The 24,975-nt window shown below is 37.7% G+C and overlaps 1 protein-coding gene across 15 annotated transcripts in view; it reads right to left on the bottom strand.

Annotated features, from left to right (window-relative positions):
* Window positions 1–24,975, bottom strand: part of MTM1 (myotubularin 1) — a 110,491-nt gene that overhangs the window by 9,288 nt on the left and 76,228 nt on the right. For all 15 annotated transcript variants that reach the window (XM_047442132.1, XM_011531172.2, XM_047442133.1 and 12 more), the window contains 8 exons: window positions 24,830–24,913; window positions 22,438–22,587; window positions 17,985–18,173; window positions 13,955–14,140; window positions 5,829–6,035; window positions 4,100–4,192; window positions 3,372–3,485; window positions 247–423 (listed from right to left, as the gene is read on the bottom strand). In XM_047442132.1, the coding sequence (XP_047298088.1) occupies window positions 247–423; window positions 3,372–3,485; window positions 4,100–4,192; window positions 5,829–6,035; window positions 13,955–14,140; window positions 17,985–18,173; window positions 22,438–22,587; window positions 24,830–24,913 (1,200 nt within the window). The remainder of the gene's footprint in view (window positions 1–246; window positions 424–3,371; window positions 3,486–4,099; window positions 4,193–5,828; window positions 6,036–13,954; window positions 14,141–17,984; window positions 18,174–22,437; window positions 22,588–24,829; window positions 24,914–24,975) is intronic.

The following is a 24,975-nucleotide window of genomic DNA, read 5'->3' as shown; positions in this document are numbered from 1 at the left end:
TAGAGCTTTAAATCAGCTTGCATTATAGTAAACAATTATATCACATTGGCAGAAGAATTGCAGCTTAACATCAAAACACATGGTTTAGTAATTAAAAAAAATTTAAATTAAGGTTGAGTTTAACAATAAGTGTGTTTTTAGAGTCTGATATTTTTCTTCATGCTGTTAAAAAAAATCCATACCAAATAACATTATCTAAGGCAAGCAGTTGACATTGCTATCTTTTAACAGTGCTACTTCACTTACTTGTTGCTTGATCCTGGGGTTCCATCTAATGTAGTAATTCACCCAGAGTTCCAAGTGACGCATACTGGCAACTGGATATAAAACTCGATTGATTTCTTTAGTATAGAAGGGGTTTTTGAATTTTTCTTTATTACTGTTTATCAGTGACCATAAAGAAACAGTCCTTTCTGTAACCTTCTACAGAGAGACAGAGAGAGAAAGTGGAGAGCCTAAGTAAAAACACACATAAATCCACAAACCATTTTGCAGCCTGTAGCAATACAGTTCAGCATCAAATTGAATCACACATTTACATTATCCTCATAATAGCTCAAAAAGCCTCATGGGCCAGTGAGTGCTTGGCAGCCACTTATCGATATTTGCATAGGTAATGGCCTAGCTTGAGAGCCACTATTTCTGCCTGAAGACAGGGGCGCAGGATACTGTACCATTAAATGCAATTCACTGACCAAAGAAGAGTATTCCCAGCTAGGTAAAACATTTATGAACAGATGGGTGGTATACTCTTTTTAATTCAGTGAAAAGAAAAATTATCCTAAGATCCCAATGACTTTTAAAACTTTTCCATTTGTTGGAACTATGAAATCTTAATCTGTGTCTACTTGACAGTAGGCATCTGGACACAGTTATTTTAATCAACCATCCAGATGTTTAATCTACATCATGTCAACATCCATATCTTTGAAAACATCTGGATAACTGACTACACGAAGTCTAAGCTTTTCAGCCTAGTGTTGCCATCTCATAAAGATATTCACATTTTCATTGCTTTTTATTGCAGGCGTTTACAAAATTTTGACCATAAACTAGAGAGAGGAAGAAAAAAAAAAAACATCAAAGCTAGGGAAATAAAAATACAAGAATTAAAATTACCAAAGGTAGAATCTGAAACTTTTCCTAGTAATGACTTTAATAAGAAAAGAGCAATAAGCTAAAACTGGAAACCAAAAAGAACATCCCAAAATAAGTGACTAAAGAAATTTCGTGGCCGGGTGTGGTGGCTCACGCCTGTAATTGCAGCACTTTGGGAGGCTGAGGCAGGCGGATCACCTGAGGTCAGGAGTTTGAGACCAGCCTGGCCAACATGGTGAAGCCCCGTCTCTACCAAAAATACAAAAATTAGCTGGGAGTGGTGGCAGGCGCCTGTAGTCCCAGCTACTTGGGAGGCTGAGGCAGGAGAATTGCTTGAACCTGGGGGGCAGAGGTTGCAGTGAGCCGTGATCGCGCCACAGCACTCCAGCCTGGGTGACAAGAGCGAAACTCCATCTCAAAAGAAAAATAAAAGAAATGTCTTAAACATATGTATTTCATTTCATGAATAACGACAGCATAATTTTGCCTTTCTCTGAATCCACCTAAAACCTCAGTTGTACCTTTTTGATGCCAAAATCTATATACCACATTGTATTTATTTGCATGTTACTCTTTTTATTTTTATATATGCACATAGTTTAAAAAGTCAAATAGTTTGACAAGGTTATGAAAAAAAGTGCTCTCTCTCACCTCTTTTCCCAGAAACAATTGTGTTTTTCCCCCAGTATTATTTACAACTGACAAATAAAAACTGTATATATTTAAGGTATACGATGTGATATTTTGATATATGTATACATTATGAAATAATCACCTCAATCAAGCTAATTAACATCTGTCACCTCATATAGTTACCAATTTTTTTTGCAGTGAGAACACTTGAGATCTATTATTTTAGCAAATTTCAAATATACATTATTATTAACTATAATTACCATACTGCACATTAGGTCTTTAGTACTTATAACTGAAGGTTTGTATCTTTTGACCACTATGTTCCTCTTTCCCTTACCCCTTCCCCAGCCCCTGGTAACTACCCTTCTACTCTCTGTTACTATAGGTTCAAGTTTTCTTAGATTCCACACATAAGGGAAATCATGTGGTATTTGTCTTTCTGTGCCTGGTTTATTTCGCTTAGCATAATGTCCTCCAGATTTACTTATGTTGTTGCAAATGGTAGGATTTCATTTTTTATGGCTGAGTAGTAGTCTACTGTATATAGGTACTACGTTTTCTTTATTCATCTGTTGATGGACACAGGTTGAGTCCATATCTTGGCTACTGTGAATACTGCTGCAATATACATGAGATTGCAGATAACCTCTTTGACATGATGATTTCATTTCCTTTAGATATGTACCCAATAGTGGGAGTGCTGGATCGTATGGTAGCTATATTTTTACTTTTGGGGGAACCTCTGTCATAGTTTGAATATTTGTTCTCTCCAAACCTCATGTTGAAATCTGATCGCCAGGCTGGGCGCAGTGGTTCACACCTGCAATCCCAGCACTTTGGGAGGGTGAGGCGGGTGGATCACTTGAGCTCAGGAGTTCGAGACCAGCCCAGGTAACATGGCAAAACCCCATCACTACTAAAACTACAAAAATTAGCTAGCTGTGGTGGTGTGCACCTGTGGTCCCACCTACTCAGGAGGCTGAGGTGGGAGAATCTTGCTTAAGCCAGGAAGGCAGAGGTTGCAGTGAGCCAAGATTGTGCCACTGTACTCCAGCCTGGGCGACAGTGAAACCCTGTCTCAAACAACAACAACAACAACAAACAAACAAAAAAATAAAGAAAAAGAAATCTGATCCCCAATTTTGGAGGTGGGACCTAGTGGGAGGTGTTTGGGTCATGAGGACAGGTCCCTCATGAACAGATTAATGCTCTCTCTTAGGTGTTTGTTGTCACTCTATATTAGTTACCAAGACAGCTGAGTTGTTACAAAGAGCCTGGCACCCTCTCCCCTCTCTCTTGCTTCCTCTTCCACCATATGATCTCTACACACTGGCTCCCCTTCACCTTCTGCCATGAGTGGAAGCAGCCTGAGGCTCTCACCAGAAACTAAGCAGATGCCGGCACTATGCTCCTTGTACAGCCTGCAGAACTGTGAGCTAATTAAACCTCTTTTCTTTGTAAGTTACCCAGCCTCAGGTATTCCTTTATATAACACAAAATGCATACCTTTAATGTAATTCCTACTCTTTGAGGTCAAAGACAGTGTCTTACAAGCTATCATATTTTTTATATTTCATGGTAGACTACATACATTTTGGCAAGCCTAATGTATCAAAAAAAATAGCATTTTAACTCACCTGTCTTTCTCGAGCAGATTCACAGTTGAATAAGAAAGTACCAAATCGGCAACTATACAGATGATCCAAAATTATAATCAAAAATTGTTCATTGAATTCAAAAGCTGTAGGGAACTAAACAAAAACAAGCAAACAAAGCATGAAAAACTGGGACTGAAACTTTATAAAATTAGAAAGATACACTGTAGAAGTAAACAAATGCTGCCACATTGTAGGGCTCTAGGAAGGACAGCAGAGGCTGTAATCTGCACACACACTACAGTTGTTCTTTTTTTAGCAGTTTATATAGGTCTGAGCACTTTAAGTGTTAAATAAAGCAATAAAGAGGAAAATGAGATAAACAGGCTGATTTTCTGGGTTCTCCTGCAGGTACAGTGTAGTTTAGTTATTTAAGCTATTATGAGATAGCAGACACAGCTATATATAAGGGTCAGTGTAAAATGTATATAAACGACGACTTGGTATTGTCAATTCCACTAGTAGAGACATCAGAGTTAAATACTTAATTTTTAAAACTTTATTAGGGAAAATCCCAGATATATCAATAGTAGCAGGAATAAAAAGGTGAACGCTCATGTACCTGGCTTCTGCAAGTATTCACACATGCCCAGTCTTGCTTCATCTCTAGCTCTACCCTGTATTATTTTGGGGTCAAATCCCAATCATTATATTAAAATGTTTAATTTAAACAATGAGTTGAATGTATTTTCATCCCTCATATTCCTTACCTGTTTTGACATTTGCCACACACAATCAATAAACTGGAGAAAAATAGGAGAACGGTCAGCATCGGTGTGGTTTTTATCACCATGACCTATTCGCTGAATAAATTGATGAAGATAATTTGTTTTAATTAATGGGTACAAAACTGAGAAAGCATATAACACAAAATGTGACAATACAATTCAGCAATGTGCCTTCTAAATGCCAAGTTTCTCAGAGAGGAAATAATATATACTTCCATGGCAATATAGGCAATGTAAGGTTTCAAAATAATGGAAATTAAGTATATAAATGTCTGTAAAATACCAATAAAAATTGCCAAAGAATCATCATCCTAGGTGATTATTACAATTATTTCATATAATCAGAATTTTGTACAAGTCCTGAACAGCTATGGATAGAATGGGCATGATTATCCTACATAGTATGTTAGCAATACACTCAACCTAGTTCTTTCAGTCGCGAAGAAAACAATCCTAAAGTTTCAAGACTTAAAATCATGTCCAAAAGGTATGATGATTAGAATTAAATGTTCTTTCTCTCTTAAAAACAAGACAAAACCAAAAAATCTCACAATGTATTCATTTACTAAACAATGATTCTTTCTATGGCTGGGTGTGGTGGCTCATGCCTGTAATCCCAGCATTTTGGGAGGCTGAGGTGGGCGGATCACGAGGTCAAGAGTTTGAGACCAGCCTGGCTAACATGGTGAAACGCCATTTCTACTAAAAATACAAAAAATTAGCTGGGCATGGTGGTGCATGCCTGTAATCCCAGCTACTTGGGAGGCTGAGGCAGAAGAATCGCTTGAACCCAAGAGGTGGAGGTTGTAGTGAGCCGAGATCACGCCATTGCGCTCCAGCTTGGGCAATAAGGGCGAAACTCCATCTCAAAAACAAACAAACAAACAAACAAACAAGCAAAAAAACACAATGATTCTTTCTACTTGAAAATGTTATTCACACTATGAAACCTGGGTGAAGGCTAAAAGGATACATAGCAGTGTTTCTGAAAGGGTAGCCTACAGATCCCCTTCATGAGAATCACTGGGGAGCTGGGTCAAAATGTATATTCAGAGGGCATCTGGAAATAAGACCTAGGAATATGAATTTTAGTATGTTCTTTTGATGATTTCATTAAAAAAATTTTCTTGGGGGGGTTATTTTAAAAAATTTTTATTTATTTTTAATTGAGAGAGAAATTTATATATATTGACTGTCTGTTTAATGTGTAGCATACACATTACCTCATAGTTACCATTTTTGTGGTAAGAAAACTTTACATCCATTCTTTTAACATTGTTCAAAAATATATTAACTACAGTCATCATGTTATACAATAGCTCTTTTGAACTTATTCATCTCTCGATGATTTTTAAAATGCATATCAGAAATAAAAAGCCTCAACTAAAAGTCTATAAAATATATTTGACTCTAATAGCTATATTATTTGAGAAAGAATTGTCTGTCTTCCTTCTCTTATGAAATTTCAATGTAAACATTTCTATGAAGATTCTTTGTATTGCTTTCAAGTGAAACTGCAAACAGTGCAGATGGATAAACATATCTCTTAAAAAGACTTTCACTACCCAAGGCATCATGCATTTTCAAACGCGTAAAGTTTTTATTACACTCCTCAGATTTTCATTGTAATACTGAATATGTAATTTAACAACTAGTTTTAAAATCCTGAATGGTAGTGATCTATTTTTAGAAATTAGCTTTGTTTACTCACAGATGCAAATTTATGTCCAAAACTTATCCATTCTTTTTGTACCAGTATTTCGAACCCTTCAATGCTCCTATAGAAGCTATCCAACATCAGCATGGCCAAGGATGTCAGCTGAGCAGTCCTGTCCCATCCGTCACTGCAATGCACAAGCACTGAACTCTTCCCTGAAGAAACTTTGTCTGCTACTTGAATGGCTCCTGTCAAAACGAGCTGACAAAGAAAAATACGTGAGTCAGTAGGGAGTTATAAGATACTGCTTACATTTGATAGTTTTTAAACTTAGAAAAAGCCATGCTTTAAAATATTAACGTCCAGAACAAAGATTTATCAAAAGGAAACACTAAGAGCTGCAGGATCTGTTGATCGTCCTCTACAGACGCTGCATTTGTTTTCTTTTCTTCTTTTTTTTTTAAATTATACTTTAAGTTCTAGGGTGCATGTACACAACGTGCAGGTTTGTTACATATGTATACATGTGCCATGTTGGTGTGCTGCACCCATTAACTCGTCATTTAGCATTAGGTATATCTCCTAATGCTATCCCTCCCCCCACCCCACAACAGGCCCTGGTGTGTGATGTTCCCCTTCCTGTGTCCAAATGTTCTCATTGTTCAATTCCCACCTATGAGTGAGAACATGCGGTGTTTGGGTTTTTTGTCCTTGCGACAGTTTGCTGAGAATGATGGTTTCCAGCTTCATCCATGTCCCTACAAAGGACATGAACTCATCCTGTTTTATGGCTGCATAGTATTCCATGGTGTATATGTGCCACATTTCCTTAATCCAGTCTATCATTGATGGACATTTGGGTTGGTTTCAAGTCTTTGCTATTGTGAATAGTGCCGCAATAAACATACGTGTGCATGTGTCTTTATAGCAGCATGATTTATAATCCTTTGGGTATATACCCAGTAATGGGATGGCTGGGTCAAATGGTATTTCTAGTTCTAGATCCCTGAGGAATCGCCACACTGTCTTCCACAATGGTTGAACTAGTTTACAGTCCCACCAACAGTGTAAAAGTGTTCTTATTTCTCCACATCCTCTCCAGCACCTGTTGTTTCCTGACTTTTTAATGATCGCCATTCTAACTGGTGTGAGATGGTATCTCATTGTGGTTTTGATTTGCATTTCTCTGATGGCCAGTGATGATGAGCAGTTTTTCATGTGTCTGCTGGCTGCGTAAATGTCTTCTTTTGAGAAGTGTCTCTTCATATCCTTCGCCCACATGTTGATGGGGTTGTTTTTTTCTTGTAAATTTGTTTGAGTTCTTTGTAGATTCTGGATATAGCCCTTTGTCAGATGGGTAGATTGCAAAAATTTTCTCCCATTCTGTAGGTTGCCTGTTCACTCTGATGATAGTTACTTTTGCTGCAGACACTGCATTTGAATGTGCCCAGGTGTTAAAAAACAAACTGAAACAAACCAAAAGCCAAACTGCATCTCAAACTTATTTTCATGGATGTGATTGCGATAGTGTGCTAGGGCTGTCATAAAGTACCAGAAACTATGAGGCTTAAACAACAAAAATATATTGTCTCACAGTTCTGGAGGCTAGAAGTTTGAGATCACAGTGCTGGCAGTGCCATGCTCACCACTAAAGATCTTTTCCAGGTCACTCTTCTAGCCTCTGGTCGTTCCTTGGCTTGGGGCAGCCAATCTTCACATGGCAGTCTCACTGTGTGTGTGTGTCTGTGTCCAAATTTCTTTTTATAAGGGCACTAGTCATAACAAAGTAAGAGCCCACACTACTCCAGTACAGTTTCATTTCAACTAAACATGTCTGCAAAGACCTTCTTTTCAAATAGGGTCACGCTCTGAGGTACAGGGGGTCAGGACTTCAACATATAAATTTTTGCAGGACAAAAATTCAATCCATAACTGTGATCAGATTAAAAAAAAAATCACTGACCCAACAGGTCGCGTCTAGACTGTAAAAGTCTGATACAGTGAAATCCACCTTTTGACCTTTAAATTGGCAATATATCAACTCTTATCTGGCTCATAATCAGTAGGGTACTTAAAGTGAAAGTATTCTAGTAAAAATTTGAGACTTAGAAGTATCAATAAATTTATGTATATAACAAGTTATTGCTATGATGTCATTTTTTGATGATTCATGCATTTACAGAAACATACTTTATAAACAATGGAATATACCCATCCTGAGTGTGAGTGCAATAAGATTTAGCAAATTTATACAGTTGTGCAATTATCACCATAATGTAGTTGTAGAACACCTGCATCACCCAAAAAGTTTACTTGTGCCATCTAAGGTCAATCTTTCTCCCACCTTGAGCCCCAGGCAACTACTGATTTGCTTCCTGTCTCTATAGTTTGCCTTTACTAGAAATTTTACATAAATAGGATAATGCAATAGGTGGCCTTTTGTGATTGGCTTCTTTCACTTAGCATCATGTTTTCAAGGTTCATTTGTGTTGTAGCACGAATCAGTACTTCATTCCTTCTCATGGTCACATAACCTTCCATTGTATATAGATAGACCACGTTATTTATCCATTCATCAACTGATAGACATTTGGTTGTTTCTAGCATTTGGTTACTATGAATAGTGCTGGCATGAACTTTTGCATACACATTTTTTGAAGGGACACAGTGTTTTTATTTCTCTCGGGTAAAATATCTTGGAGTGAAACGGTTGGATCAAATGGTGAATATATGTTTAATTTTTTTTTTTTTTTTTTTGAGACAGAGTCTCGCTCTTTCGCCCAGGCTGGAGTGCAGTGGCGGGATCTCAGCTCACTACAAGCTCCGCCTCCTGGGTTCACACCATTCTCCTGCCTCAGCCTCCCGAGTAGCTGGGACTACAGGCACCCGCCACCACGCCCAGCTAATTTTTGTATTTTTTAGTAGAGATGGGGTTTCATCGTGTTAGCCAGGATGGTCTCGATCTCCTGACCTCGTGATCCTCCCGCCTCGGCCTCCCAAAGTGCTGGGATTACACGTGTGAGCCACTGTGCCTGGCCATATGTTTAATTTTTTAAAGAAACTGCCAAACTATTTTCAAAAGTGGTTGTACCATTTCACATTCCCAGAAACAATGTATGAGAGTTCCATCTTTTCACATGCGTATCAACAATTTGTATATATTATGTAATTTTGGGTTGGTTTTTAAAAGATTTCTTCCACGGAGCTTCCAAATTCTAACAGCCATGCAACAGACATGTATTATAGTCATTTTACCCAATTCAAGGAAATGGAAATTCGCTTATTTTAACTAATTCACAGAAAAGGCAGACCAAGTGAAAGATCTGATGTATTAGGGTTGAAAAATTACCTACTGGATACCATGCTCACTATTCGGGTGATGGGTAAACTAGAAGCCCAAACCTTACTATGCAATATCTATGTGACATACCTGTACATTTACCCCTTGAATCTACAAAAATAAAAATAAAGAAATGTAACTTCATTAGTTTTACATATACAATGTAACTAAAGATAAGTGGATAAAGTAGTGCCAAGAAGGAAAGGTTAAGGGACCTAAGGATGTACATCAATTAGTTGTACAAAATCCATTACTCCTAAAATGACTAGAGCCGTTTATTTCTTCAAGCATTTTAAGTATTCTCCTTGAAATCCTGTTTACAATTTTCATTTGAAGTACTTCTGAAGAAAGGGCTGTTGAGAAGCAATGGTAATATACTAGATCACTTGAGTCCAATTTAATGAAGTTGGGGTTCTAATGCATTTTTACAGAGGGCAACTCTCACTCGAGATACTTCCCTCACTTATAATATAAAAAGGACTCAATCTCAGCCAATTATTTTCAAAAATGTTAGCTGTGTTCCAATTAAGTATTAATTCCCACGATCACTTCTGACAGAAACAGCTATAATTATCTAATAAAACTATACCAGAGTTTTAAAAACACTTAAATAATCTGATGGACTTGTGACTGATGAAAGAAATGACAGCCATCAAGCAGTATACATCACGGTAGTTAAGAGCACTGGCTCTATGGCAGAAGACCTGGGCCTGAAACCTCATTCCACTTTTGATATCTCGTGCTTTGGGCCAATTGAGTAACCATGGTTTCTCTCTCTCTACTGTGAAGAAATGAGCCATGTCCCCACTAGCTTGTCTTGGACTAAAAGATGCTCCCCATAAAGTGCTCACATTGAGCATAGGCTCAATGAGGGCTAGCTGCCATCCAAGAAGGCCAAAACAATATGATACTTTAAAAGAAGCAGGACTATAGGGGAAGAGTATTGTATTGAAAAGGACAAAGAGGAAATACAAGCTCCAGACACTACAGAGTCCTTCTTCCACCCTGCTGGGGCTGTCAGTGAACTGGAATGATGATTTGAGAGGCATGCTAAGGATGGTGATTTTCTCATTGCAAAAGGCTTGCCCCGCTTTCATACATTGAATGGTGACACCATTTCACCAGATTACAGGTTAGTGATGGCCATGCCACCTGTCAGCAGACCCAGGGCTATAAGATAGTATAGAAGGCTGAATAATGGTCACCAAAGATGTCCACGTCCTAATCCCTGGAACCTGTGTATACTACCTCACATGGTAATAGGGACTTTGCAGATGTGATCAACTTAGTGATTTTGAGAAGACAGATTATTCCGGATTATCCAGGTGGGCCCTAAATTACATCACACAAATCCTGATAAGAGAGAGGCAGAGGGAGATTTCATACAGACAGAAGAGGGGAAGGCAATGTGACCACAGAGGCAGAGGATGGAATGATATGCCTACAAGAAGCTGGAAGAGGCGGGGAATGGATTTCCCCTCGTTCCAACCAGTATTCAAGGTCCAACTCAAGGCTATCCACAACTCTGCTTCACTGTCTGAATTGCTATGATGTGACTGATGCCTGAGAAGCCCTGAGTCAGATATCATTACAAGTGTCCACCTAGACTCCCCAGTCTCCTGGTAACTCCTTTGGCTTCTGTACAGAACAATGACAGTTTCTTTCATTTCTTTCATATCCCCTTTGCTATAGACAAAACTATAAAACCTTAGAGAGGTCTCTTAAAACATTTCCCACATTCCTTAAGTGCTAACTTCCATACTTCATCTTTTGCAGATGGCCTTACCTCCTAACTTCCTCAGACATCTGAGCCATTGAACAAGACCTACTCTCACCCAGTCTCTCTTCCTTCTATCTAGCTCAGAGTAGCAGCTGAGCCACCTTGCCAATAACTCCTGTACCTGTGCTCTCTCTTTTAAAAAAAAGCTTTTCTTCTTATTTAGAAAATATATATTCCCTGGAAAAAAATGGAGAAAACATAGCCCTATTACTCAGAAATAATAATTATTCACATATTGGTGGATACCTTTCTAAATTCTGTATGTATGTGTGTGTGTGTGTGTGTGTGTGTGTGTGTGTGTGTATATATATATACACACACACACGTATATATATGTATATATATGTATATATATATGTATATATATATAACTTTTCTTGTACATTTAGGTTCTTTCCAATGCTTTTCCACTTTTTTTTTAAAGAGATGGGGCCTTGTTCTGTCACCCAGGCTGGAATGCAGTGGTACAATCATATTAATAGGTCACTGCAGCCTGAAAATTCCTGGGCTCAAACAATCTTCCTGCCTCTGCCTCCTGAGTAGCTGGGACTACAGTTGTGCACAACTACAACTATTTTTTGTCTTTTTGTTTGTTTGTCTGAGTTTTTTGTAAGAAGCAGGGTCTCACTACGTTGCCCAGGGTGGTCTCAAACTCCTGGGCTCAAGCGATCCTCCCACTTTGACCTCCCAAAGCACTGGGACTACAGGCATGAGCCACCATGCTGGCTCTGTTTTTCCACTATCATAAGCATTCTAGTATATTCATATTTTCAGACCTGTGTGATTATTTCCCTTAAAAAAATTCCTGAAGTAAATCTTTTCTCTTTGTCTACAAAACAGGCTGAAGCTTCCCATGACTTGAAAAGCCCTTCTCATAGTCATATGATCCTCAACACTTCCCCCTTCCTTAACTCTCTCTCTTATTAAAAGAACAGTTGATATTCATTACCTCTATTTTCTCACTCACACCCACCACATCACTAGACACCCCCAAGGTCATAAAGGACCTCGCTAATAAACCTCCTTCAAGTACCACTGACCCTTTCTTCTTAAGACCCTTTCTTTACCTTCCAATATCCTCCTTTGATGTCCATTTCTCTGGTATGCCTCCTTCACTGAGCTCCACTTCTCACCTCCTGCCCTGAATACAAACAGGCCCAAAGCTCCACTCAAAGTCCTCTGATCTTTTCCCCACACATCCTCTCTCAGAATCTACATTAAAGGGCTTTGCTTGCGTTTGTTGCCCAATAGCTGACTGCCAAACCAACATCTCTGTGTTAAGTCTCTATTTTGGGTTCTACTTTGCAGAAAGCCTGCCTGCTAGACACCACCAGGTGGACGGCCCATCACTACCCCAAATGCATGGTGTTTCTCTTGACCAAGGTCCCAATCAAATCTTATTTTTATTTTGCCTTTCATTTTTTTATGAATTTGTCATCCTCACCAATGAATTGTTAAAAAAAAAAAAAAAAAAAACAACCTAATTGTGACAACTAAATATAATGTGATACCTGGATGGGATCCTTAAACAGAAAAAGGACATTAGGTAAAAGCTAAGGAAATCCAAATAAAGTATGAACTTTATTAATAATAAGTTAATAATGTATAAATATTGGCTCATTAGTTGTGACTAGTATACTGTACAATGTGACATGCCATAGTTATGAGCAGTGTAAGACGTCAATAAGAAGAAAAACTCGGTTGGGTATATGGGAACTTTCTATAGCACTTTTACAATTTTTCTGTAAATTGAAAACTATTGTAAAATAAAAAGTTTTATTTTGGTTTTTATGTTAGACCTTGTGAATGGGAAAATGGTATAAGACTTTAAGGAGGTTCACATATGATTGAAGAGATGATAGGTATGTGTAAAAAGAGACATAATGTATAGCAAAGTCAGTGGAAGGAACATTCCCTTTGAGATTCGGTGGGATTTGATCTGGTCCTTGAAGAAAGTGGAAGGATGGGGGAATCCATTCTAGAGAAAGAGGACAACCTAGACAAAGGCCCAGAAACAGGCATAAGTGAGATGGAATTAGGAAGAGTAAGGATTTCTGTAGTTGCAGGTTAATCTACAAACCTGCAGAAGCCAGATGAACAGGGGTGTGGCTGTCAGGTTAGGCTGTTGGGAGCCCCCAGAGGTTTTGGAATAGCAGGATATTTTAGGAAAATGTTCTGTCAGCTGCTTATAGAATAGATACGAGAGGGAAGGAAGAGAAAACAGAACCATTTTAAGAGTGCAAAGATAGGGGTAGTAATGGCCTAGTTTGAATGCTGCCAGTGTGGGGGTGAGGGGACTATGAGAGTGACAGACATGTTTCCAAGGAAGGGCCTGTGGTACTTGATGATTAGCTCAGTGCAGGAGCTAAAGAAATGTAGGATGACACCAAGAGGGTGAGCCTCGCTAGCTGAGAAGAGCATGCCACCACTTGCAGATGAAGGGTAAGTTGGAAAACAAAATTTGACTAGAGAATATATCTTAATAATTCACCTATACATTAAAGCTGACTTTTTGTTTGTGTACAGAACTAAATGGTTTCTAAAAGTGTTAGTTCCCTCAGATCACTTCAAGTACTTTTTAAAAAGTGGAGGATTATTGCTGCCTTTATCAGGATAAAGGATTGAACATAATAAAACACAAAACCAATTCTTTAAAATAAGTCATTTGAGATTAGTTTCAAAAAACAAAAAAAAACAAAAAACAACAAAAAAAACAAAACTAACCACCTCTTATCTAGGTCCAAAGAGGTCATATCCAGTAATGGTTAGATAATAAATTGGCTATTCCTAAATAAACCTGCATGAAAGACTGAACGACTTAATACTGAAAGATGGAAAGAGATGTCTTTGCAAACTCTAAATATATTCTGGAGTGATGATGTGAAATCTTTAATTTAGGTAAGCAAATTATAAAGCAACATAAAACTGTTAAATGTGGTCCTCTACTACAAAGTTTATCTCTCAATGTCCATTTTTTTAAGGAATTTAAAAATATGTCCATTCCACTAAACAATTACATTCTTTTTTATATACACAAATATTTTCACAAAATATACTTGCCTTGATATGTTCTAACCAATGAGTAGACTCCAAACTGGACAACCAATGAGATTCTTCTACATTAGGATAAACAATGTCCTTCACTTTTTTTAAAGATTCCCGCATAACATGAATATTATGAATGTCTAAGAAGAAAAGTTCGGCGTTATGATATGCATCATCACTTTCATATCCTCCTCCTGTTGCCTAAGAAACAACATGAAATACAAACAATCAGTTGAGTTTTCTATTTCATCAGAAACTTACACAAATATTTCTAGTTATTTGTCCTCCAAATAACCCCAAACCCTCCAATTTAAATGAATAATTGATGTGACTTGACTTCCTAGCCAACAACAAGTCTCAAAAACATTAGTCATACTTTGAGTTGAAAAAAAGACAGAAGGCTGGCAATTTCCTGGGGAATCTGTATTCCTAAGGAAAAAAATCATCCTCAAAATGCTCTATAATTAATAGCTCTTCTTCCGGATCTGGAAAGGCAAAAGCAGGTTGTGAAAGGTCCTCGTTCTCCATTAGTTTTGTATCTCTAATAGTACTCTTCAGGGGGAAGGCGGGAGGCAGCCAGACTGAGGCAGCAGCAGGCACCTCTGGCACTGTAACAGCACTCACGTAGGACGTGATGCATTAGAGGAAAACAACAGGCTTTGGAGACAGACCCAGGCTGAGATAGCTCAGCTTCAGCTTCTCCTTGCCATGTGATCTGGGACAAGGCACTTAACATTTCTGAGCCTCAACATCCTCTCCTGTAAAATAGGGGATAATATTACCTAGGTCTCATACTATTAAAGGAACCACACTCTATTATAATAGCTAATGCCAGCCACTGTTTAATGAACTCCTATGACATCCCAGGTACTGTGACTCTTGCTTTACATAATTTTCTCTCTTCAGCAGTGCTGCAAGATAGGTATTACTGTCCCCATTTTGCCAATGAGAAAACAGAAACTCAGAGACGCTAGTTAACTATCCCCTAAGTCACATAGGTAATAAGTGGAATTTAAGTCTAAGTCTGGCTTCAAAGCTCGAACTTTTTCTACTAAACCATGACTATTTCTCTGCTATGCAAACACCAATGAGAGAGCACTGCACATAGTGAGCTCTGAAAGAATAGAAGATTTCAAGAGGAGACAAGATGGCTACCGCCTACTGCAGCAACTACAAGTATTAACTTGCCAGGGCAGGCTTTGGTTCATCTTCACAGCATGGTGAAGAGTGCCCATTTTCCACACTGACAAAAAGAGATGCTATGGTTTCATTTAGGAATCTGGCTGCATTCTGCTTAAACGTTTTGAAATGGCATAGAACACGTGGCCTTTGGCCCTTTAAGAAAAAGTTAAACAGTTCTGAGACTTGCAAAGAAAACAATATTATACTAACTCCAGAGTGCCTGTAGGAACAGAACAGGGAAACATCTGCCTGGGGCTGAAGAGGAAAGGAGAAGTCACCAGACAAATGTGCCATAGCTACAATATGCCTATTTTCTCTTTATTAACAACAATGGAAGGAATATAAGCTTGTAGCCATGGATAGAAGGGCCAAAGAAACTTAGGTTTTTTTTTGTTTTTTGTTTTTGTTTTTTCCTGGAGGTAGTCACAGAAAAAGGTTTCCTGCAGAAGTAAGGCTACCATCCATTTAGGTTTCAAACTTGGAGACCTATGTTAAAAGCCAGAGATCTTGGTCTCTAAAGACTCTAGGCAAGAAAATATAGTTAGGCAGAAATATTTCTTTAGAGCGTGCTCTAAATAGTATCACTGGTAAGTAGACAGTAAACATTCACAGTGTTGTTTTAAAAAAGTTATTAGCTAATAAATAAGCAATTTATTATTTAAGTGGGCCACTTTCTCCTCTTCCTGCTTCTCTACACATGTGGTTTTTAAATAGTTATGGTGATTTTCAAAGAGATTCTTGAAACTAGAGTTCTCTTCATAAATAACTGAAAATAAGTGAAAAAATAAAAGGAAAAATATACTTTATTACTCATCGCTAATGTTTCTGGTAAAAACAGACATTAGCACAGTTCCACATTAATTCATCACGATGTACCGCCACAAAAATAGAAGCGGCTTGCTGCTAGATCTTACCAATCCTTGGATTTTGTTTAATTTAAAATGATGTGCCGTTGCTTGTTGCATCTGGGGATGTAAATTTCTAAATATCCGTAAGGGAGGAACAATTAGGTCCAAGGAGAACAGAAGGTCAGAAAGGGCAACAATCAATTAGTCAAGCACACACTGAGTTCCTGAAAGTTCAAATTCTACATCTCTGGTTACTTTTGAAGTATTCTTTTTGGTTTTCCTTTCTTCAACAAAAAAGAACAATGTAGATTACCTAGGACGATGATGTAAAGGTCTACGGGCCTGTTGCTATGGATATTAGCGACTAGCGGAGAGACACAGCAGAGGAAGGGAGAAACAAGTGAGCTTTTTAAAAGAATGACAGAGATCTGTAAAGCTTAGGCTTTTTCCCTGATATTTTCCTTCCCTCGACTCCTAAGAGGACTAGAAATAGAAGCTTGTTTCCTGAGTGTTAAAAAGGCCTTCAGGAATTCTGTTGCTGGAATGAGCTTTAATTAGTGTATCCATTTCATGCATTTTAATATTCTAAAATATTCTTTGTAAATACTTCATTGTAATGCTATATCATATCTATTTCAGGCTAAATATGTACATGAAAATATTGCTATATATATATATATATATATATATATTCACCCTGAAATATATATGAAAGATAATAGGTACACAGATATATAAAATTAAGGACAATCCAAGAAGATATTTAGAGTTAGATTTAATTTCCTGAGTGTTTCACTTACGATTCCTAATTTACTTGTCAATTTAACTTACTGACTGCTTCACATATAATTTCAAAATCATCTCTGGACCAAAAAACAACCGTAGTAACAAATAGCTGGTTTAAAAGCATGCATGGGGATGGGGAGGTGGCCCAGGATTAAATGTGTAGGACAGAAGATCTGTGCACAAATAATGAAGAGTTGAGCTCTGCATGCATGCAGTCTGACACATCCTAGTCCAGACAGATATCACAGATTCTATTAGGAAGCTGCTGCACCTATCTGAGCTGCTCAAGAACTTGTTTTGCTTTCTGGTTCTTGTCTTATGTTCTGAATAATTGAAGATGCTAGACAAATAACCTCAGGATAAGCAATGTATTAAATATGATGAAATTTAAGCTTACAGCAGAGGAGAAACAATAAATCTGAAAGCTGGAATGGGAGTGAGCAATTTGGGGCAGGCCCCTCGTGAGCATTTGAAAGTGACAGCAATGATGGGAGGAGAAGGAAAAGAAAAACAACAAAAAGGAGAAATAGAACGTAAAATGCACATCAATCTGGGGCCATTTAGTAGAGCAAGCAAACAGCCATACACCTTGCAGCAGCTTCTGAAGGCAACACTATGCAGTCACTGATGTTCATGATGACCCTAATCAATTTTAAGTGCATTCAGCATATTCTGCTTACAGCAAAAAGTCAATTGAGACAGACTTCTTTGAAAACGGTCAACTTTGTGTATATGTTTGTGCCTGGAAAACTCACATACGTGGACCTACTCATTTCTTGAATTATCTTATGTAAATGAGAATACACATATGTGAGTATATACGGGTATGGGGGAGGGAGTGTTTGAGTAAGCATGCAAATTTAGTATTTTAATAATTACAGCTTCCCATAGCTTCTTACAGATGCCCCAATAGTGTACACAATGAGTGATCATCCACAGCTGAAAGGGCTTTAAAGAGAATCTAACTTTTTCCTGCCAAGGTCCTGGCCAAAACCCAATTTCATTACAGTCTAGACATGCCTATTTACCTAAAGTTTATTTGCATTTGATTTTGATATATTCAATTTTGTTTAAGTTTTGTGATTAAAACTACTTTCTGTCTAAGAGAACTGGTTTTCTTAACTATTAATTTAAACCCACGTGTTTCTATATCATGGCAAAAACATTCACAGAAAACACTGCACTCCATATGTAAGCTAAGTGTCCAGCACATCATTAAGTCCACTCACCTTGTTGGCCACTGCATTTACGCTGGGTCTTGCATCATAAATGGTGAGTTTAGAAATTTGTTTATTAGTCTCCCTGATAACATCGAGATATTTCTCATCATCTTTATTTCGTTTCCCACTCATACCGACAAGAGGCTGACTGCAACGCACAATGACCGTCTTATTTTCTGGATGAATCCATGACAGCACCTATGGTTAAGTCAGAAAGTTTAAGCTATCAAGAAAGCAAATCTCCAAGCAAACAATTAAAACTGTAAAACAGTAAAGCACTGACGGTTATCAAGAAGTGAATCTGATTGTGCTAAAATAGAATACTTGTTCACTTGCAATCTCACTGCGTGTGTGTGCCCAGAGACATGCATTTAATAATATAACTCAGAAACAAGTACAATTACCAGTCTTTTCTTAATTAGCACCACATCCAATATAAATTAATTGCTTACCTAAAAATAGTTATATCACTTAAAGGAAATTGAAAGCTTGATCCTATTTTAATTATGTAGCTTGCACTGGATTTGTTATCATATAGAAGCAGCTTTGGCAAAAAGTGAGAGGTAAAGGAAATTGTCTCTGGTACAATATGTTTCTCATAATACCAACTCTGTCTACAGATCATTTTCCCAACAGTCTCAATTCTAGAATCTAACACAGGAAGGAAGAAAACCTGAGCAGAGCAAAACTGATCTCAGGACAGCCCAAAGAGCATAGATCTGCTCGTCTCCACAGTGCAGTGTGGACATCCAATGCCTAGGAGACCTCATCAAGCCCTGATTCAGAACCTATCTTCTCTAACTTTATACACAAGTCTAGCACATTTGCTCCCTGGTTGCCAAGCTCATAGCATGTGAAAAGTAATACACGTAAAAGGTAGCTAATAATGTAATATACCAAAAACGACAGAATTGTACACTTGAGATGGGAAATTGTTTGGTATGTGAAGTAGATCTCAATAAAGCTATTAAAAATGGGAAGCTGGAGAACTGCAGCACAGTGGGCGACAATGTGGACTTTGGGGTCTAGTGCCATCTCTGCCGTGGTTCTAACCTCAGGCATTTCACTCGCAGCTTCTCTGGCTTCCCTTTCCTCTTCCATAAAATGGGGAGAATAATATAATCTCATAGGGTTGCTCGGTGGCCTGAAGAAGAATGCCCAGAAAGTCTGCAATAAACACTGGCTCGTGTTAGCTTATAGAGGCAGGCCCAGCAGCCAGGAAAGTCAGTTAGCAAAAACTACAAAATGCAGATACAAAGAACGAAAGAAGCTTAATCATGTGGGCTCACTCAACATAACACCAAATTCCCTGATGTCTCTGAAGTTACCTACCCCATGATGGCAAATGACAAACATTGATGTTTATAAAAATGAGTGTTTATAATGACAACAGGTTATTGAGAAAAGATTATACAGTAATATTTATTCATTCTCAGAACAAATATGGTCCTTGCACCATGCTAGAGATCAATTAAAAACACCATTGTAGCCCCTGCCTAATAAGAGTCCAAAGGCTCAGAACTGGGAGCCTTGGAGAAGGTACCAGTGGGACCTAAACCTCCACCTTCCAATCTATAATGCACAGCACATATGAGATCTGCCTTCCTTTCCCTCTATGGCCCTGGTATCAAGAGAGACAAGAGACATGAGACCACTTTAAAGGAGCAATTTGCTACACATTTAAAAGATTTATTATTTGAGAAATTATTAAAATATTTTTTAATATTTTTTATTATTTTAATAATTTGAGAAATTATTAAAAATAAAAATTATTTATTATTGAGAAAGACCCTCATCAAGTTGTAAATTTCAGTCGGGCCATAGGCAATGGCCTCCCGACCCCTATTCTCTTTGTGGTGCCATGTTAGGAAATGCTACTCCTCTGAGTTGTTTCTCCTCTTAATTTCTTTGCAGGAGGGGGGATTCTTACTACTTTTTGAAAAGGATGCTTATTACAGAGCTAAACAGGTACAAATAATGTTCATTTCACAGTGTCAACTACCATGAGTGCTTTTACAGTATATGGCACTGTATTATTCTTATTAAAATTCATATCTAGAAGCCATAGATAATTAAGTACACAAATATCTAACCACTGAAAGATGTTTATTACAGCATTACTTACAATAGCAAAAGATTAAGCAGAAGCTGAATGTCTCACAATGGAAAACTGATTAAATCATGGTACATCTACACACTGGCATATGAGCGGATCATATTTAGCAACATGGGAAGTTGTTTACAAGATATTGCTAGATAAAGACACAAATTATAGAATAATTTCTATAGACTGAGACACAAATTATAGAATAATTTCACTTTTTTCAAATATATATACATATGTGTGTGTGTGTGTAGATATATGCTTAGAAGGAAGTCTGAAAGGATATATACCAACAGTGTTAACACTGGTTCTCACTAGGTGGCAGACTCCTTTTTGCTTATCAGTATTTTTTATAATGCTTAAAATGAACGTGCATTACTCATACATTAAAGACTCATAAAATTAAGAGAAATCTGTTTGAGAATAAGAGAATACATATCCATTAATGGAAACATTTAATGCACATTGATTATTTCTCTACCCAGCAATATTTTATTATAGTTTATATCTTATTTACATGCAAAATAAGATCTCTTTCATGTCACTTCCTTTTGTATTTTTACATGAGGTTTTATAAAAAGAACCAACTATCAGATATTAATGATTTCACATTAAAGGCACATATGTTTTCTGGGTGGAAGCAAAGCTCTGAGACTTAGCCAACAGCCGGGTGGTTAGAAAGCATACTGCAAAGAACATATTACCACGCTTAATAGTACCTAATAGTAAATCTATAAATATGTAGAGGTGATGGGGAACTTAGTCTTCCCTATAAAAGCCATTTTAGAAAAAATAAATACAAATTGGTGGCCATGATAAAGTAAGAAGGATCAATAACATGACTAAATAAAAAGTTAAGAAATTCTATCTGCTCTACAGTAGACACTCATTCATTCAGAATAATGGGGACTACTGGATCAAGATGGCAACCAAGCATGGTAGAAAGGGCACAGTTGTTCAATTTTCTCTGTTTCAAATCCCATAGAATTCACCCACATACACAAATGACACGGTAGATGCTCAATAAATATGAACTGAATGAATACATGAACAAAACTGAGCCAGGCTACCCTAGCCCAGTTGTCCTTGTGAGCAAGGCATGCATTAGCAAGACAGACAGCCAGCCAGGGTAGGGGTGTAGTCTGTGGCTATGGTACAGAAGAGCATGTCCAAACAGAGCACAGGAAGACTGAACTTGTAACCCTAGCTTCATTAGCATCATGTTCTAACAACATGAGCTAAAGAACATACTTTCAAGTACAATTTATATCGCGAAGATATGAACAGACACTACTAACTGGAGAAGCAAGTGAATTAAAAAAATCATTACATAAAGCATTTATTAATTTTAATGGGTAAAATAGTAGTGCTATAGTGGAAAAACATGACAGACACTGCCTTAGCAGAATAATCACAGTTAACATCACTAATAACGGGACAAATCAACAGCATGTCTCCTAAGGTGGTGCACTGAGAACACAGCATCACTTCTGCGGTTTTATGGCTAGAAGTGTATAACAAGTGAATTAAAAAAAATTACAATTCATATTAGGCTGACAATACAAAAGTTTTGCACAAATATCCTTTTAAGGAAAAAAAATGTCTAGACTTGAAAAAGGCAAGGTGACATTAAGTCTTAATTTCTTCAACCTTTGTTTTTAAACATTTACTTATTAGGGGAAAAAAAAAACCCCAAGGTACTTATGACAGACCCTGAAAATTAGCAGGGGAGAATACCTAAATTTTTAGTCAATTTTTGTCAATGTTAGATAGTATCACATGTCCATTAATATTTAAGGACCAAAAGAGAGCTTTGTGAACTAGGTGCAGTGATACCGTATGGATAGTGTCTGGAATAATCTATACTTGACTCCAGTTAGACAATGGTATTGGGGCAGCCTGCAAAGGTGATGGGGGTGAGCTCGTGGTGAGTGTATGTCAAAGTCTGTGCTGACACATTTTATAACAAGACAGTGTGTTCTTTCCAGCATGATTTATCTGACATTTATCAAGAGCCTATCATATAGTATCATGTACTGTGCCACAAAGACAAAAGCCACAAAGAGCCTGTCTTTCCTTGCTTCCTTCCACACAGCACTTGGTTCCCATTACTTGCAGCCCCTCTCTCGTAGAGAGCTCTTTACTTGCGTTCATTCTTGATCCTTAGTTGCAAGCTCCTAGAAGGCAGGTGACGGCACACTTCTTCTCCAGTCTGGTATGGTACTTTGTACTCACAAAGCACTTAGTAAGTATTTTTTGGGATAGAATTCCAAAAGGACCGTTTCTCTAAGTTATATGACTACCATTCTTATGGACTAAAAGGTGCTCTTCAAGAGAAACGTTAATTGCAGTACTCACTGGAATTCGATTTCGGGACCTAAAAGTTGCAACTCTCCGGAGGTCATCATCTGAGGCACGATACGGAACCACCAAAAGAGCAGGGTAAGTGTCACAGAGCTCATAGCACTTATTAATAAAAGTTATTCTCCAATGGTGATTGGGCAAGCCCTGTGAGGAAAAAAAGAAATTCAAGTCAGTATTGCTTGACCTCATCTCTGGATTTGGCCTTGGGCCTCTTTTCTTCCTTCTAGCAATATGTGCACATGCCTCTTTGACCACAGGGTGATGACGGTCTACCTATTTATAATAAGGGTGCCAAATCAATAATCCAGACAACGTAAGAACACAAGACAAAACACTGGTGGTTTTTACAGTTCTAAACTATACTTTGTAAATACAGATTCTCTTGAATTCAAAGGAATTCGTCTTCCTTTATTTTGTGTCCACATATTCTTTACTACCTGTACCACACAGATAAACCCAAGTTCATCCCCCGCCCATGCACCCCTCCCATCCCCTAAAAAAATACCCTGCTTCATCTTAATCTGGCTCTAACTGAGGGTAGAAAAGAGATCAGGCAACTTCCTCTCCCTGCTCAAAATAGAGTGAATGCTTCAGTCTGCTCCAAAGTGGAAAGAGGCTGAGCTCATGAAGAAAATCATGAGGGGAAGTAAAGGAAGATCCCTCTGGGGAGGCTCATTTCGCCACCTCCGATGAGTTTTTTTTCAATCAAGTTGTTCGGAATCGATGATTGCCCTATAGTTTGTGTGAGAAATACAGTCATTTGCATTTTAAGCAGACTGCTAATGTGACAGGGAGACACAGAAGACACCTCCCATCCTATCATCTCCCCCACAAAATTGTATTTAGTATGGAAAAGATCCAGAGGTGGTGGAATATTCTCTCCCCATTCTCACAAATGCACAGATACACACACAAAAGTGAGCTATGTGGGTGTTTGCTTTGGGGACAGACATTGTACCTTTTCTTTAGGTCTGGCCCTAGAGACCACGGACCAAACAGATGTTGAGTCTGATGCTGAGTCCAATTAGACAGTTATAAGTCCCATCAGAAAGTTATAAGAAAAAAAGATTGAATATAATGGCAGTCTAGAACAAAATACCTTCAACAGTTCATATATGCATGCAATCTTAAAAACAGGAACTGTTTTGTTTCAAGCTAGAAGCTTTGAACTAAAAAAAAGTCTTAATGTTATCAGTAATACTTCAAAAAGAAGGTAAAAATATTTTAATACATCATTTACAGAGGTCTCCAAAACATGCAAAATGTTTTCATGGTCCTTCTTCCGCCTCAGTAGCTAGTCCAGAACTGAGGCCATTAAAATGGGAGTAGTGCAAAGCCTTAGAAAACTCAACAGTCTAAACGTGACTTATGGAAGCAACAGGATATACTATGTCACATATGTTCTAAAGCTAAACTCCTGCACCCAAATTCCAGAGCGTCAAATCTGTTCATGAATATGCAAACCGTTGATTAAGACTAAAAAAGGAAACCAATCCAGGTTTTTCATGGTGAAGGTGGTGACTAGATGGTTCTTCTCAAGTCTAGGGTTCTACGATTTTACTTTATATTCACTACCTTTTCATATAAAGCAAATGGGTTTGATCTGATTCTCAAATCTCATTCAACAAAACTTTTCAATTATCTTAAGAGCTTTGTAGAACAAGAATTGTGAATAATCCCATCACACAACTCCTAGCTGCCTACAGATTTGGTTATACCAGAGGTCAAACTGTGGCTCTTGTTACATATTATGCACAGAATTCCCTTAACAAAAATACTGCAAGAGACTTTTGTTCCTGAACAGCAATATGAGACCAAGCCTCTTGCCTTTATTATAGCAAATAAACATGCATGTAGGTGACATTCATATAAGAGAACAGTAAAGACAATTATAATGTACACTTATCAAAGCTTCCTTGAAAAAGACATCACTACAGGAAAACAGTTCTAATTCATTTGAATCTGCAAACTGAAATGAATATAATTTAAATCTAACTGCAGGTAATAGTTAAGCTCCCAAACATGCATATACATAGCAATATCAAGTCCTAAAGTGTAACTTCTAAAATGTTTGACTTTTCTAAATCCTAAGTATTTAATTCATTTCATAAACAACACAGAATTGATGCTCTTCATATAGGGAAGGAAATAGGATTTAGTGACCCAGTCTTCGATGCAGCTTGCATATGGCAATGGAATGAGCTTATAAGTTATACAGTAATAGATAGAATGAGATATATTGTACAAAATGTGGATAATATCACCACCATTGAAAAGATATTTAGCAAGGATGTCGCTGATTTTCAGAAAGCATGGCTGATGACATACTGTCATAATGCATGTTTCAGGTTCATCACATACCAGACAATAGCATCTAACATCTTACCTGCCTCCTGTATTCTTCCACTGGATTGTAAACTGTCCATCCATCCACGTTAAACTTTTCTTCATTTAAAAATGCAAATAATGGCTAGAAAAGGCAAAAAATAAATAAAGTTCAGCGTGAAGGAACAGTCTACTATTATAGTACAT

This window comes from Homo sapiens, chromosome X, assembly GCF_000001405.40.
Source record: "Homo sapiens chromosome X, GRCh38.p14 Primary Assembly".
NCBI lineage: Eukaryota > Metazoa > Chordata > Mammalia > Primates > Hominidae > Homo > Homo sapiens.
This window is presented reverse-complemented; position numbering and strand designations above follow the sequence as displayed.